The sequence below is a fragment of the Homo sapiens genome, chromosome 1, assembly GCF_000001405.40.
Source record: "Homo sapiens chromosome 1, GRCh38.p14 Primary Assembly".
Taxonomy (NCBI): domain Eukaryota; kingdom Metazoa; phylum Chordata; class Mammalia; order Primates; family Hominidae; genus Homo; species Homo sapiens.
Genome location: NC_000001.11, coordinates 247,920,013 through 247,935,513, shown reverse-complemented (window position 1 = coordinate 247,935,513; position 15,501 = coordinate 247,920,013). Strand labels below are relative to the sequence as shown.

The following is a 15,501-nucleotide window of genomic DNA, read 5'->3' as shown; positions in this document are numbered from 1 at the left end:
GTGATCCACCGCGCCTGGCCCATACATTTTAAACTTACAAAGTGTGTCTTAGTGTTTGTAAAAAAAAAAAAAAAAAAAAGGAAAAAAATTAAATGAATTCTCAATAGAAATATTTATTATCTTCTTTGAAATAACTATTAGGATAAATTGCTAGAAGAGTTTGTAAAACATCATCCTGTATGTATAAATGAAATAAGGCAATTTTTATGATATTCCTATCTAATATTGTATAGTTGCTTCTAGCATAGGATGAGTAATTCAATTTTAACACAACTTATATCTGTATATATGTGTGTACATATATATGTGTGTGTGCATATATATGTGTATCTGTAAAATTTTACTAAATAAAGGTGTTGATAAACCAGGCAAAGAATAATGATTTCATATGGAATTTGTGAATTTTTGATAAGTGATTGTTAGCAATATAATTTAACAAAGTTTTATAAAAATAAACATGGATTTGTCTTTTATACAATGGATGTGTGACTGTATTTTTAGGGATATTCTCATAAGTCTTACAATTTTGGTGTTAGGGAATAGGACGCCTTGGGTAACTTCTACTTCCTGTAACTGTTGCATGATTATAATTGGTACCACAGAAGGAACACTACATTTTTAGAGGTACGTGTTTACAACACAAACACATATTATTGTTTATTATTAACAATGTTTCTGAAATATTCACTTCTTATATGTGGTAAGATAGAAGCTTTGATTTCTTTCTAGGAAACCTCTCATGAGTATCCTTCAGGCATTTAACATAGAAATAGACAGAACACACATTCAGGAATTTTCCTATTCATTTTTTTGTGCAGAAAGTTACTTTTGAGCATATTTTTCATCACCGCCAGAACATCTTTATTCCTAAAGCTGTAGATGAAAGGGTTGAGTGTGGGTGTGAGGATCGTATAGAATATTGCCAGGAACTTATCCTGGCCTGGAGTGTGGTATGATTTAGGTCTCATATATGTAAAAATAAATGGCCCATAGTACATCGTGACCACAATCATGTGGAAGGAACAAGTGGAAAATGACTTTTTCCTTGCCTCTGATGATTTCATCTGGAGGACAGTAAGAATAATTTGGCCATAAGAAGCAGAGATCAAGGAGAAAGGGATCAGCAGGAAGATCACAGCACTTACACAAACCCCTCGTTCATAGCGTGTTGTGTCTGCACAGGACAACTTCAACATGGCAGGGACTTCACAGAAGAAGTGATCAATTGCCCTAGAGCCACAGAAGGGAAACTGCAGTGCATAAGCTGTGTGGACTGTGGAGTTGAAAACCCCAATGAGCCAGGAGCCTCCAGCCATGAGAGCGCTGGCATACTCCTTCATAAGAATCGGATAGCGCAGCGGGTGACAGATAGCCACATAGCGATCACAGGACATTGCAGCCAGGAGAAGGCACTCACCACCCAGGAGGGTGAGGGACAGAAATACCTGGAACCCACAACCTGCAAATGAAATAGTTCTGCTGCCTGACAGAAAGTTAGTGACCATTTTGGGAACGATGTTGGAAACATGCAAGATATCCATTAAGGAGAGATGGCTGAGCAGAAAATACATTGGAGTGTGGAGTCGGGAGTCACTGCGAATGAGGAGGATCATGAGCGTATTTTCTGTTACACTCATAATGAAAATGACAAATAAAACTAAGAAGAAGACCACACTTGTTGGGGAAGAAGAGAACAATCCCAAAAGTATGAAATCACTGCTGAAAGTGTGATTCTGATGGCCCATCATGAATTCTCTATTTTTTAACCTAAAAAGAAATAATGAATTAATAATAAAGAAAAAATATTAGTGTAAATCTTAATCTAACAATAATATACCTGCATAATAAAATGAGAGTTAGTGATGCATGTTTTGTAATCAACATCAAAATACTCTTAGCCAGTTTTTGGAGTGGGCATGTTTTACAAGCTGGGCATTTCTTTCTTCAAATAATCGATGATATTCAGTATATTGAGTGGGCCCTTGGCTCCATCTTGAGTCTCATAATCTTAATTAATTCCACATAATTTACTCAAATCTACTCTTTTCTCAAATGTCACTTTCCCAAGGAGGCCTATCCTTGCACACCCTTTAAAAAATTGTAGGGCTCCCACTTAAACCCTAATTTCCTGGTCCTCCTTGCTCTGCTCCATTTTCACATGTTTGCATGTCACTTTTCACCTTCTAGTACATTAAATAATAAACACACTGGTTATATTTACTGTTTATTTTCATTCTATGCCAGAATTTTTACTTCACAATGAGAGATCCTTGTTCTGATCACTGGTATAACCAACTGCCTGGAACAGAGCCTAGTGCATAGCAGTTGCTCAAGAATGTTGAATATTTGAATGAAATGAATGAACTGTGGAACTTGTCTTTCTGTCTATTGCATTTATTATTTAGATTAAACTTATAGAAAATAAAATGTATAATTCTAAGACTTTCCAAAATAATAAGTAATGAAATATTGTCACAAAACTCAATATGTTTATAATTTGAAACACTATATTTTAAATGTAAAAAATAGAAGTATCATCTAGTCAACATCAACAATGTGTCTTTAAGGTTGTATTTCATATTTACGTGTTTGGTTAACTTGTTGAAATTGAAGTATAATGTATTAATTCTATATGTGGGATAGTAGGTGTTCATATCATTTATTTATATTTTGATAGTGGTTACTTAAATGTTTACATAAGAGTTATTTGTGCACCTTCTGTATGTATAACATTTCCCTCAATATGCATAAATACATACATATATACTTTCACATATTAATACGTAAATTATAAAATTTATAAATACATTAGTCCAGGTTTCTGTCTTTCAAGATGCTTTATGATCATCAAAACAAATAACAAACATTAAAAAATTATTTTCCATCTTATTAACAACTACTTGTTTGAATAAAATGAGCTTAGATTTTCCCTTTTGTAAAATAAATGCAGAAGTATGTCACCGACAATATATAAATGATTATTTTAATTTTTGTGAATATTGAGATTCTTCATAAACAGATCACTTAATCCTATTTTAATTTCCTTGAATAACAACAGTTGTGTGCTATGACCTAGAAGAGTTAGAAAAGATAAGCACCTCAATGAAGTTTATAAATGTATGTGTAATTAGTCCTGCCTGTTTTTTATGTTGTTGTTTTGTTTTGTTTATTTGTTTTTGAGACAGAGTCTTGCTCTGTTGCCCATGCTGGAGTGTAGTGGTGTGATCTCAGCTCACTGCAACCTCAGCCTCCTGGAGTCAAGCAATTCTCGAGCCTCAGCTTCCGAGTAGCTTGGAATACAGGCACCACTACCAAACCCGGCTAAGTTTTGTATGTTACTAGAAATGGGGTTTCACCATGTTGGTCAGGCTGGTCTCGAACTCTTGACTTCAAATGATCCACCCACCTTGGCCTCCCAAAGTGCTGGGATTACAGGCGTGAGCCACCGCACCCAGCCATTCCTTTCCGTTTTGACTGTTTTGACCCACAGCTTTGTAAAATGTGATGATACACACAGATTCAGACTTCAGGGCAGTGGTGCCCTGCATGAGCTGATCGTAAATAAATTTACAAAATCAATAAACACTGCTGACAACTCAAATCAACACACCTATATCCGAAGTTAACTTTTCCCCACTCCCTGGAGTTATATCATTCTTCTCGTTTTACTTGTTTAATCAATGATTTACTTTATTATCATAATTCCATGCCCTACTGAATCATATGTCCTTAGCTGACTTCTGGCCCATTTTAGGTCTCATTAATTGCTTTTTACAAGAATGATTTAATTGTTTTAGTGGTCTTTGATGTAAAAATATTTTCAGCTATGCATAAATTCTCCTTCTCTGTATTTCATACTGGCTTTTACATTTTTTAGAGTTCATATCATCTACGCAATAATACCTGTATTTTTTCTTCAGAAATTGGAAGCAATCCACAATTTATTTCTTATCTCCCTCATCATCTTACTTCCAACACCATATGTCCACTACTATGAGGCACCTCATATTTCTGCAACTTTTTTTCATATCTCTTGGCTTAACCAGTCAGTCAGGGATCTGAAATATACTCCCATGATGATGGAATGATTCAAGAAAGTGTATCCTCTATGTTACCCAGGAGTATTTCAATTTTGGGTGAAATCTGCCATTGTATGCAAAGAGAAATGCTCTCAATTCCGTGTTTGAAAGTGGAGAAAATACGTGTCACCTATCCTATAGCTTGTTCCCCACACAGGAAACTCTTTGACGAGGTAAAGTTCATTTATCACCCATCTAGCTCCAAGTATACCTTGTTAATAATATTAAATGTTGGAGAAAAATATACACTCTACATCCATGTCTTTTCTATAAGCCTGGAGATTAATCAGAGAACATGCTCTCCTCAGGATTTTGTCTTAAGTTTTTCAGCTTTGTGGCTCTGTAATTTTTAGGAAATTCCTAGTTTCCCAAAAGTCTGTTTACATCTTTATATATACTTCAAGTTTTATCATTTGGAAGAAGCAGTCAGGCAGGTCAGTCTGAAATTTAACCAGTGTACATTATACTTCACATAAACTGAGCATAAAAGAGCCACTTTGATTTGAAGAAACGCAGGTCATGATTATAGAGAAAGAAATATAGAGTGACACCAGCATAAATCGTGTACATAATTTCATACTAAGTTTAATACAAAAGAAGAGCCCACATTTTTTTCCAGACACATCACACTTCCTTCAAATGATAACTGTATGTGATTAAATGTCTGTGTGTGTGTGTGTTTGGGTGTGGGTATGTGTGTGTGAGACTTTACCATATCTAAAAATGTCTTCATTTAGGAACAATCATTTAGGCTCCTTAAATTATTTAGCCAACTATTCCAAATATTTGTACATGTAGCCAAATTGTTTCATTTTGTCAATGGAACTACTTCAGAGTTCATATGTTTATTCCCGTTAGTGAATCAAACTGTTCCTATCTGTTTACTGTGCAAATGTTCCATTGAATTTACTCCTGCTTGGAAATTACATTCTAGGTACAGACACCATCATACCCCAGTCTCCTTTTGTACTCTTCACTCATTGACCCACTACACTCAAATCCTTCTGAGCATTTTATATCTAAGAAGATTGTTAAAACACACCACATATTCATTAATTTAGACTTAGTTCAACTAAAAAATACTTTTTAATTTATCTACCAGATCTCTCATTATACCGATAAAGCATACAACATGTTTCTTTAAATTTTGATTTATACAGACTTCGATTGTTCACTAATATTGCAATGACTTGACATTCAAATGTTAAGTAGTTATTTATTTGTTCCTACATTATTTCTTTACATTACATGTTTGACTGCAAGACAAGCACAAGACAAAAGAAAATCACTAAATCAATTATGATAAGCTTTATCATAAGCTTAAAATATCAGACTTAATGAGTTAGTGACTGACTATTTTTAAAAAGTGGTCACTGGTATTTCACTGGACTACAGTGGAATTTCATAGGACAGGCAAAACTCAAATACTAAATTAACCTAAATCTGGATGAAATTTAACTATTACTTTATCTAGAGCAGACATGGATATAATAGAAATATAATGGATGTTACCTAGCCCAGGAATTCGTATGCTATTGACTCAAACATTTTATTAAGAAAATAACAATATCATCAATACCCTACTGCTTTGAAGAGATAAACAGGAAAATTTAATGGAAATGCAATATCCCAAAAATATTTCATTTTTTTGTCTTACATGAAACACCAGATATGAAATTATATCTGAAATATCCATTAAATTATGTCTGAAATGAATTTCTATGAAATGAAGATCATGACAGTACCTGCCTGATAAAGTTGTTTTGAATATTAGATGAGACTCATTAAATACCCCCACTGCAAACACACACACACACACACACACACACACACACCGAGTGAAGGGGGGGAATAGAGCCTGGCACACAGTCAATACTCAGGATGATTATTATTGCTACTACTATTATTACTATATTAGTATTCCTATAATTACTATATTCTTACTCTTTTTTGTTTCTTAAATACACATGTAAGGGGTTATATACCAGGGGAGGGAGAAAATGAGATAGCTAGGGAGAGGAAAAGAGGGGCAGGAAGGAAAGGAATGAAAGAAGAGAGATTCAGGATATGATAGAATGTAGCTATGTAAAGCAAAGTACAATATAATGCGTGAATCAGAAGTATATTTTGTACTCACTGTCCAGAAAATTGACTCATTAAGCTAGGGAGAAAGAAACTCACCACACTGAATGAGAATGTTTAGGTCGGCTTCCTCACCCACATGCGCACATGAAAATGAGTGTGAAAGAGCAAATGAAGACTTTGAAATCAAATAATCTGAGCTGCTTACAATCTCATTTTATGCCAGCCATTTGATGTTTTAATTCACCATTTTTTTTGGCCCTTCTAACTTTTCAATTCCATACAATCATTACGGAGTGAGTGACCACATGTCTTCTCCTTGTTACTGCCACCTGATTTAAGGGATTCCTATAATTACTGTCTCCCAAGGAGCTGGGACTACAGGCGCCCACGACCACGCCCGGATAATTTTTTTTATTTTTAGTAGAGACGGGATTTCACCGTGTTAGCCAGGATGGTCTCGATCTCCTGACCTCGTGATCCGCCCGCCTCGGCCTCCCAAAGTGCTGGGATTACAGGCGTGAGGCACCGCGCCCGGCCCATCCTGTTTCTTTAGCATATGGATATGATGATGTATGTTCCTGAAATGTTCCTGTAACCATTTCATAGGGACAAAACTCAAGGGATTAAGGAGCCGAAGACTGTCTGCTACCAGGCAATTTCCTGTTGATCACCAATCACAAAAGCTGCCCTGATTGGCCAAAATCAACACTTGCTTCTTATGAAGAAATTAAAAATGATGCTTGTTTTAAGGGAAATGCTTCAACATCGGTCTCAGAAAAGATTTTATCTCTAAGACTTCAAGGGCACAGGCAACAAGATAGAAACACACAAATGGGGCTACATTAAACTAAACACCTTCTGCACAGAAAAGAAAACATTCATCTCAATGAAAAAACACCCTGCAAAATTGAAGAAAATATTTGCAAATTATTCTTCTGACAAAAGATTAATATATAGTATATGCGAGGAACTCAATAGCAAATAAAACCCCATAATCCAATTGAAAATAGGTAAATGATCTAAATACCCATTTCTCAGAAGAAGACATAAAAATAGCCAAATATTTGAAAAAATGTTCAACATCACTAATCATAAGGGAAATATAAATCAAAACCAAAATGACATATAATTTCACTGCAATTAGAGTGGTCATTATCAAAAAAGACAAAAAATAACAAATGCTGGTGAGGATGTAGAGAAAGAGACATCTTATACAGTGTTGATGGGAATGTAAATTAGTATAGCTATTATAAAGAACACTATGAAACTAAAAATATAGATCTATCATATGATCCAGCAATTCAACTACTGGGCATATATCCAAAGGAAAGGAAATTAGCCTATTGAAGGGACATCTGTACCTCAATGTTTAGTGCCACACTGTTCACAATATCCAAGATATGGAATCAACTACATGTTCATCAACCAATGAATAGTTAAAGAAAATGTGGTATGTATACACAATGGAATACTATTCAGTCATAAAAAGAATAAAATCTTGTAGTTGGTGGCAACATGGATGAGCCTGGATGACATTATGTTGAGTTCAATAAACCAGGGCACAGAAGGATGTATACTACATGTTCTCATTCATATACAGAAGGTTAAAAAACCTGATCTCATAGAGGTAGAGAGTAGAATGGTATTTACTCGAGGCTGGGAAACACGAGGGCCTAAGAGAAGAGAGAGAAGTTGCTCAATGAGTACAAATTTATAACTATGTTGGAAGAATAAGTTCTAGTGTTCTATAGCACTCTAGGATGATTATCGTTAATGATAATTTTTTCTATCTTTTCAAATAGCTAGAAGAAAGGATTTTCAATGTTCCCAACACACACACACACACACACACCCCCTAAATGTTTAAGGTGATTAATATGCTAATAACCCTGATTTGATCATTAAACTTTGTATGTATCCAAATATCACTCTGTACCCCATAAATTTGTACAAGAATTGTGCATCAATTAACTTTTTAAATCCTTGTTTAATGTTGAAGTCCCTACTGACCAGGTCTCTGTTACTGATGATAGAACTGAATTCTCTCTTATTATGCACTTAATGCTGTCAGAAAAAAGAAAACGATTTTCTTATTATAGTGCAGGTGATTGAAAAAAACTGAGATGATTTCTAGAAATTAGGGAAATGTCTTTTGTGTGGGAGTTAGCAGGCTATTTAACTCTGTTACCTGTTCTACCACAGAACACAAAGCAAAGTCCAGCAAGTGTGAGATGAACCAAGCTAGAGTTAGCAGAGATGAGAAAATAAGCTTTGCTGATCAAATATTTCTCTGTCTGAAACATGAAATAGATATCACCCAAGCCTAATACTTAGAAGCCTCGAAGGACTGAAAACATCAACTGCATATGGGGTGTGTGCGCCTGACAAGGAAATGACTCCGTGGCTCAAGCCTCATCAAGCACTTTTCCTTGAGAACGCTGCAGAATACAGGGGGCATCTTGCTTGTCACAAAGAATCAAGCTAGTTTGTTCCCACTAAAGTCTATTGTTGAAACCATTCTCAGTGTAGCCACATTTAACTAATGTTGGGAGCAATCAAGAGATTAAAAACTCTATCTTAGCAGTAGATTTTGACTGATAGTGGTCTCAAATGGAAATGAATAAATGCCAGCTATGTTTTTGAAACACCAGTACTGCCAAAGGAAACCTAAGTCTGGTTGTACCACTCTGAATTTGTGTGTTGTAGAACTGTAAGTAACCCCTAGACCATTGAGACTGCAGTAGAAGGAATTTGGCCACAAATTGTATGCATCAATGTACAATCTCCAATTTCCCCTAGAGATCAAAAAAGCAATAGCATTATGCTGAGGGAAAGAAAATTCAATCCAAAGGCGATGTCAAGGTTAAAAGACCACAGTGGACAAACAATCTTTTCAGAGGCCAAAATAAGGGGTATATAACAAGTTAACCTATATGACTTCTCCACTGGCAGCAGAGAAACTCTTTACCATTGCTATCAGTCAAAGATCTTTGGATTATCGTGTGTTAATGTAGTAAATTTCAACTGGGTGTACAACTATTTAGTCAACTATTATCTTACTTGTTACATTTATATTACCTTTCAGTTTTTAATAGTAAAAATAATATAATAAGTAACATTGAGTTTCCAAATTTTTATATTTAAATCAAAACTAAAATTCTATGCTAAAGATAATGTTTATATTTATTTTAAGTTATTTCAAATAATTTTAAATGGTGTTTCATTTATCTAAATAAAATGGCATGATTTAATTTGCTTTATTGAATAAATATGTGAAAATCAAGCCTACTACAGGCATATCTTAAAGTTCTATACTAAATTCACTTTAGTACATTATGTATGTATGCAGATTATATTAGAATGTTACACATTTTGTGTTCAGAATTTACAGAAGAAATATATTGATGAGAAAGAATCATTGAAGAAGGCAAATGAGTTGATCTGGGAATAGAAAACCTAGTACAGTAGTCTGTGATAATCGTTTGCTACCCTTAATGCATCTATTAGATTTTATATTGGCGGAATCTTCAATCTACTGTAATTCCAGTATGTTTTACTCAAAGTATTTAGCACCCGCTTTTATAGGATAGAAACACAAAAATTATAATGACAATTAAGTTAATTCCCTGCCTCAAATTTCTCCCTGTATAAATCCATTTCAGTCCTAACACTAGATTCCTCTTTCTGTAACCACAACTTTGCATTTGCAGACATTCTGCTAGGTCACATTCTTTTAAATTTAAAAAAAATTCATAAAATTTGCCTACATTTAGTTCTAATTTCCAGTGAAGCTGAAGTATTTATATTTATATAAATTGAGCTATTCTGCATCTTTTTCATAAGTTGGATTATTTCTTGCACATAAACACTCTTCCCCAGCACTTCTAAGGGCTTCAATTTCTTCCATTCTCCCAAGATTTTACATGTAAATCTTCCCTCCATGGAGACTTTCCTGTTCTCTTAAAGAGGATGACTCTCTCCCCCTCAGAATCTGCTCTGTCAGAACATCATGTTTAATCTACAGTTTAGCTGCTTATGTTTATGTGGACCGTCTGCTCCTTCCTGATGAGGGCTGACTGCAGGTGTACCCTAGCGCGCTCTGAACAAAACCTGCGCCTTCCTATGTGACCTGACCCTGAAGTCCTCCCGGGGTACCCATCTCCCACCACATTTGACCTTACCACGTTCCGCTCCGCACAGGACATTCCAGGCAGGGCCTTTCACATTTAGCACACTGGGCTCAACACCCCTTCCTCCCTCATGGTGTCCAGCTGCTGTTCATGCTACTCAGATGTTTGTTTCAATGTCATGTCCTTGAGAGTGACTCAGAGGCATTGGGTGATACTCAGTTCAGCGATTTCCTTCCGATTAGCTGACAGTTTACAGGGAGAAGGGGATATGTGATTTGAAAGGAGCAAGGAAAAGGATGAAAGACAACTTCCCAGTTGGAAGTCCTGTAGCATGTGGCTTGTGGGAGAGAAAACGGCCACCCTTTCATAGGGCACCATGAGGACTCATGTCCCTAGGGGATGCCTGAGAAAAAAGTGAGGAGAACCTGCAGCAATACCTTGTGTGAAGGAGGAAAACCATGTGACAACATCTTGAACACTAGTAGAAGAAATGATGGCGATTTCAAATGAGTGTGCATGTGTATATGTGTGGGGTGGGGGCAGGTGCTCACTGAAACACTATGAAAACTAGCTCTTTCCTGAGTGCAAGCTTTTTAAAGTCAGGCAATTGGATTCAGGTCTGTATAAAAGTGGATAGTGAATTTTACCCCAATAAGCTTGTCTCCATTTTTTTAAAAAAATGAGAATGAACACTGAGCCAATTCTGGAAGGTTATGGTTATAACTAAAATAATAAAATGAAGGTGAAATATTAAGCAAAATACAGTTGCAAATTAAGTACTAAATGAATGAGAGGTATTTGTGTTTATTACTGTTATTATAGTTATTTCATAAGAAGTTATACTCTACTCCATCTAGGCGAGGGTTAAACCAATTCACTTCATGTTTCTGAAAGAATATGGAAGTTGGCTATTTGATGAAATTACCCTATGATCAAATTATGCCTATGTTTATAGAAATAAACCAGGTTTAAAGTGTAATAAATTGGCTTTAGATACCCTAAAGCACAACCTGCAGGCCCGGGGTAAATGCCTCAACCAGGCTTTCTTCCACAATCCCCAGGGGCCGCCACTTCCACAGTACTGCAGGGACCTGCCAACCTGGATCTCACTGGCTCCTGCTCCCTGAGAGCGTCTGCTCTACATTCCTCTGCTCCTTATTTCAAGAAAAGAAAAAGTTGTGAAGGAGAAGATTGAGACTAAAAAAAAGCAAAGTAAAAAAAAAAACAGTCTCTAAGTATGTGAAATTATTGTATTACAATTGATTTTTGGATTTAATTTTTTGTTTTTGGAGATCACATGAGTATATATTTATAAATAAATTGATATAGAAATAAACGTATGTTTATGTTTGTTTCCTTCGTAAAATCAGCAGTCTCTTCAACATGCCAAATTTCTTGCCTGAAAATTACTGCATCTATATAATCATTTACCTGTAAAGGAGTGAAAGACATGCCATTCCCCAAATACCAAATTGGAATATTGATTACTTCGAATTAAAAACATAGGAGCAATGGTTATTTCAGAAAGGGCCAGCTGATCATTCTCTTCCTACATGTGCGAAGCCATAGAGATTCCTCGGGAGGTGCACCCTCCATGTACCAGCTGAGAAAATAGCCCTTACACCAGACACTGGGATCCGGGGGTGCAATGGATCAGAATGAATATACTTAGCGAAGTAACCCTTCTACGAGTTTTACTCCCCTTCACATACATCCTAATGACTCACCTAGAAATGTACTGCTGTTACCCCATCCCCTTTGTCCTGTCACGTCTTCTTAAATTTATCATTCTTTCTCGAGAAAATATAAAATTTCTCTCTTTGGCCACTTCCTCAGATTTCATGCTCTTGTGAAGAAGCCCCTGTATATGTAAAATTAATAAAATCTGTGTGTTTTTAGTGGCATCATTCCTCCAGTGAAGTGGGATGTTCTGTTACAACTCATAATTAAAACAAACAGATTTATAGCTTTAAGCAGAATGCAGGAGGTGGAAGAGATGTACTAAATACCTGGTTTAATAAAACAGCAAATCTTGAGGCATTGAATGATAACACATGTGTCAGGAAATATAATAAAAAATAACCCAATATATGATTTTATTTCCAAAATTCCAAGTAGCCCTATGAATGCCATAGATTGCCTATTAGTTAATGACCAAGTTGTTTTCGCTTTGGAAGCATATACAGATTTTTTTTTCCAAAAACTGAAGTAGACAGTTTACATCAATAGGCAATAGATAATAAGCTAACGCAAGAGGCCTCAACATTATTAGTCATCAGGAAAATGCAAATTAAAAGCAAACTGAGTTCCTACTACACTCAGAAGAATTGCTAAAATGAAGAAAACATCGACATTTGGAGCAACAGGAACTTGTGTGCATTGTCAGCGGCAGTATAAGAGTAAACAACCACTTTGAAAACAGTTTACTGAAGAGTTCACCAGACACCTACCAAGAAAAATAAAAACATATGATTACAAATAGGAGATTAACATACATTTCAGTCACCAGAACTTCAAACTGAAAATAGCCCAGATGTCCATCAGCAAAATAATGGATAAACAAATGATGAAATTTTCAGAAAACAAAATACTACTTAGCAGTAAAAAAAAGCAATGTAACAATGAGGTAAAAATGTGGAGGGATTTTAGAAATACATTAAGCTGAAAGAAGGAAACAAGATTCAAGACCATACTATTTGTTTCCTTTGATGTGAAATTTTAGAATAGCCCAAACTAACGAACAGAGATAAAAATTAGAGCAGTGGATGTATCTTAGGCCTGGGGTATCACTGGAAAAGGGCCTGCAGGACCTTTCTGAGGTGGTGAAAATGGTGTCTCTTCCTAATGGGTGAATTACCAGGGTAGATATTTGTGGAAATTAGTTGAAAAGGAACATCTTAAATGCGAGCATTCTACTGTGTGTAAGCTACACCTCAATTTGAAACAAATGGCAACAACTTTCAAAACTGCTTGAATGGTTAATTCATTCTTTGAACAAAAAATTATTGTGAGGTATGATGTAAAACCATCTTACTAAGGATTAGTGAGTTCACCGATTTTTAACAATCCATGATTTGATTGGGTAATGATAGCTGAGTAAATGAACCCGAGGAATGAAGATTCATCTGCAATTCAAAGCAACACACAAACACACACACACACAGAGACAACAGATGTAGAAATAAAAGTGTATATTCCTTATTTCTAGGAAATTCCACACAAACACTTTGCACAGTTTTGAATGTTGGGGCAAATATATAGTCTTATTCACGACTTAAGGCCACACACCGACCCATACACCTTGTCAGGGCTCCCTTCACCTCACTGTTCTTCACACTGTAGATGAGGGGGTTTAGTAAAGGGGTGAACATAGTATAGAAGGCTGACACAACCTTGTCGTGGTTAGTGGACCTGTGGGATTTGGGTCTCATATAGGTAAAAATGGCAGCTCCATAAAAGAGTCCCACCACAGCCACATGTGAAGAGCAGGTGGCAAAGGCCTTCTTGCGGGCTTCTGTAGAGCGCATGTGCAGAACAGCAGCGAGGATGAGACCATAGGAGGACAGGATGAGGGAAAAGGGGACCAGGAGCATTAACACACAGCAGATGTACATGGCGTTTTCGAAGACTGAAGTGTCAGCACAAGCCAAACGCACCAGCACGGGGGTCTCGCAGAAGAAGTGATCGATCTCGTGTGCACCGCAATATGGGAAGCTCAGGGTAGCAACAGCCTGCAGGAGCCCGTCAGCTGCACCCAGGAGCCAACACGACAGGTTCATCCTCAGGCACAGCTGCCAGCTCATGAGAGTGGGATATCGGAGTGGGTGGCAGACAGCCGCATAGCGGTCATAGGCCATGGCTGCTAAGAGGAAGCACTCTCCACCACCCAGTGTGGGGAGGAAGAAGATCTGCGCACCACAGCCAGCGCGGGAGATGGCCTTACTTCCGGTCAAGTAGTCAGCCGCCATTTTGGGCACAGTGGTGGAAACCAGCATCACGTCCATGAGGGAAAGTTGGCTCAGGAGGAAGTACATGGGCGTGTGGAGCCGGTGGTCCCAGTGAATCAGGAGAATCATGAGGGAATTGCCAAACAGGGAGGTCAAAACGATACTCAGAACCATCATGAAGAGGACTTGGTGGGCTCTGGTGTGGTTAAAGAGTCCTAGGAGAATGAAATAAGAGGTATAGCTCCCATTTTCCATGATTTCAAATAAGAGTGACACTGCAAATGGAGAAAAAGAAGACAGAGTGTTTATCCTTTATGGTACTCCATTTGAGTTACGTAGTAAAAAAATAGAAAAGTACTTGTGTGAAAGCGATGAAACCTATGTCAAATCTTTCATTTGCCACTTGCAAAATGTTCTAATTTGTGCATAAAATTAATTAAACTTTTTCTCATTTCCAAGGATTTCATAATAAATGCTTCTCAGGCTAAGTATTGATTAATTTTATATCACAAATCCACGTTCTGGATAAGTTGCAAGTAACCTGTCAGAATGGTTTTGCTTTATCTGGTACCATCATAAGTGAGTGAGAATGAAATGATTCACATAATTTGTCACTTTATTTGTGCTTGAGTTACATCATGCATAGTCAATATTTTAGAAGCTGAATTAAGTCAGTATATTTCATTATATAAAACTACATCCTTGACTGTGAAGGTTGTGGGTCTATAACATATCAAAACTCATTGAAACCTACCAAAATCAGGCAGTTTTCCCTGACTTAATCCAAGAAGACTTTTTTTCCTTTCTAAAGAGGGTGACTTATATTCTCAGGTCTGGAAAGGCTGAGTCTGCAGATGAAAACATAGTTAATTTGGAGTTGTGAACACATTTAGTCCTCCTTTATAGGTGATAGACTGAAAACAGTACTGACCTTCTTGGATATTTTTTATTTCTTTGCAGTGTAAGAGTATAATGGTAAACACACATTTTCATTAACTGTACAAGGTACTTTGTTGCAATGAGACTTTTTCTCATCAGTCCACAAGTATAACCTTTACCAGGTAAAGGAGAAAAAAGAAAACTAAGATCTTTATCCAATCACAGAGATAAATTAATGTCTTCTTCAGTCTCAAGAGAAATGAAATCTTTATAGACATTTTCATCTTAGATCTGCTGGTGCAGGAAGTTTTCTACCTTGTTGAATAAATGTCGCCACACCTGCAGAGGTATTGATGCTGATTCAATCTCAAGGATATGGTC

At 36.5% G+C, this 15,501-nt stretch overlaps 2 protein-coding genes across 2 annotated transcripts; both read right to left on the bottom strand.

Annotated features, from left to right (window-relative positions):
- Nucleotides 1-174: 174 nt before the first annotated feature.
- OR2AJ1 (olfactory receptor family 2 subfamily AJ member 1) lies at nucleotides 175-10,625 on the bottom strand. Its single transcript, NM_001355235.2, has 2 exons — nucleotides 10,346-10,625; nucleotides 175-1,767 (listed from the first exon to the last, which is right to left on the bottom strand). The coding sequence occupies exon 2, from the start codon at nucleotides 1,743-1,745 to the stop codon at nucleotides 759-761; it is 987 nt and encodes a 328-aa protein (NP_001342164.2). The 5' UTR covers nucleotides 1,746-1,767; nucleotides 10,346-10,625; the 3' UTR covers nucleotides 175-758.
- A 1,736-nt stretch (nucleotides 10,626-12,361) lies between these two features.
- On the bottom strand, nucleotides 12,362-15,262 carry OR2T8 (olfactory receptor family 2 subfamily T member 8). The gene is made up of 2 exons (NM_001005522.2): nucleotides 14,996-15,262; nucleotides 12,362-14,516 (listed from the first exon to the last, which is right to left on the bottom strand). The coding sequence occupies exon 2, from the start codon at nucleotides 14,494-14,496 to the stop codon at nucleotides 13,558-13,560; it is 939 nt and encodes a 312-aa protein (NP_001005522.1). The 5' UTR covers nucleotides 14,497-14,516; nucleotides 14,996-15,262; the 3' UTR covers nucleotides 12,362-13,557.
- Between the last annotated feature and the right edge of the window lie 239 nt (nucleotides 15,263-15,501).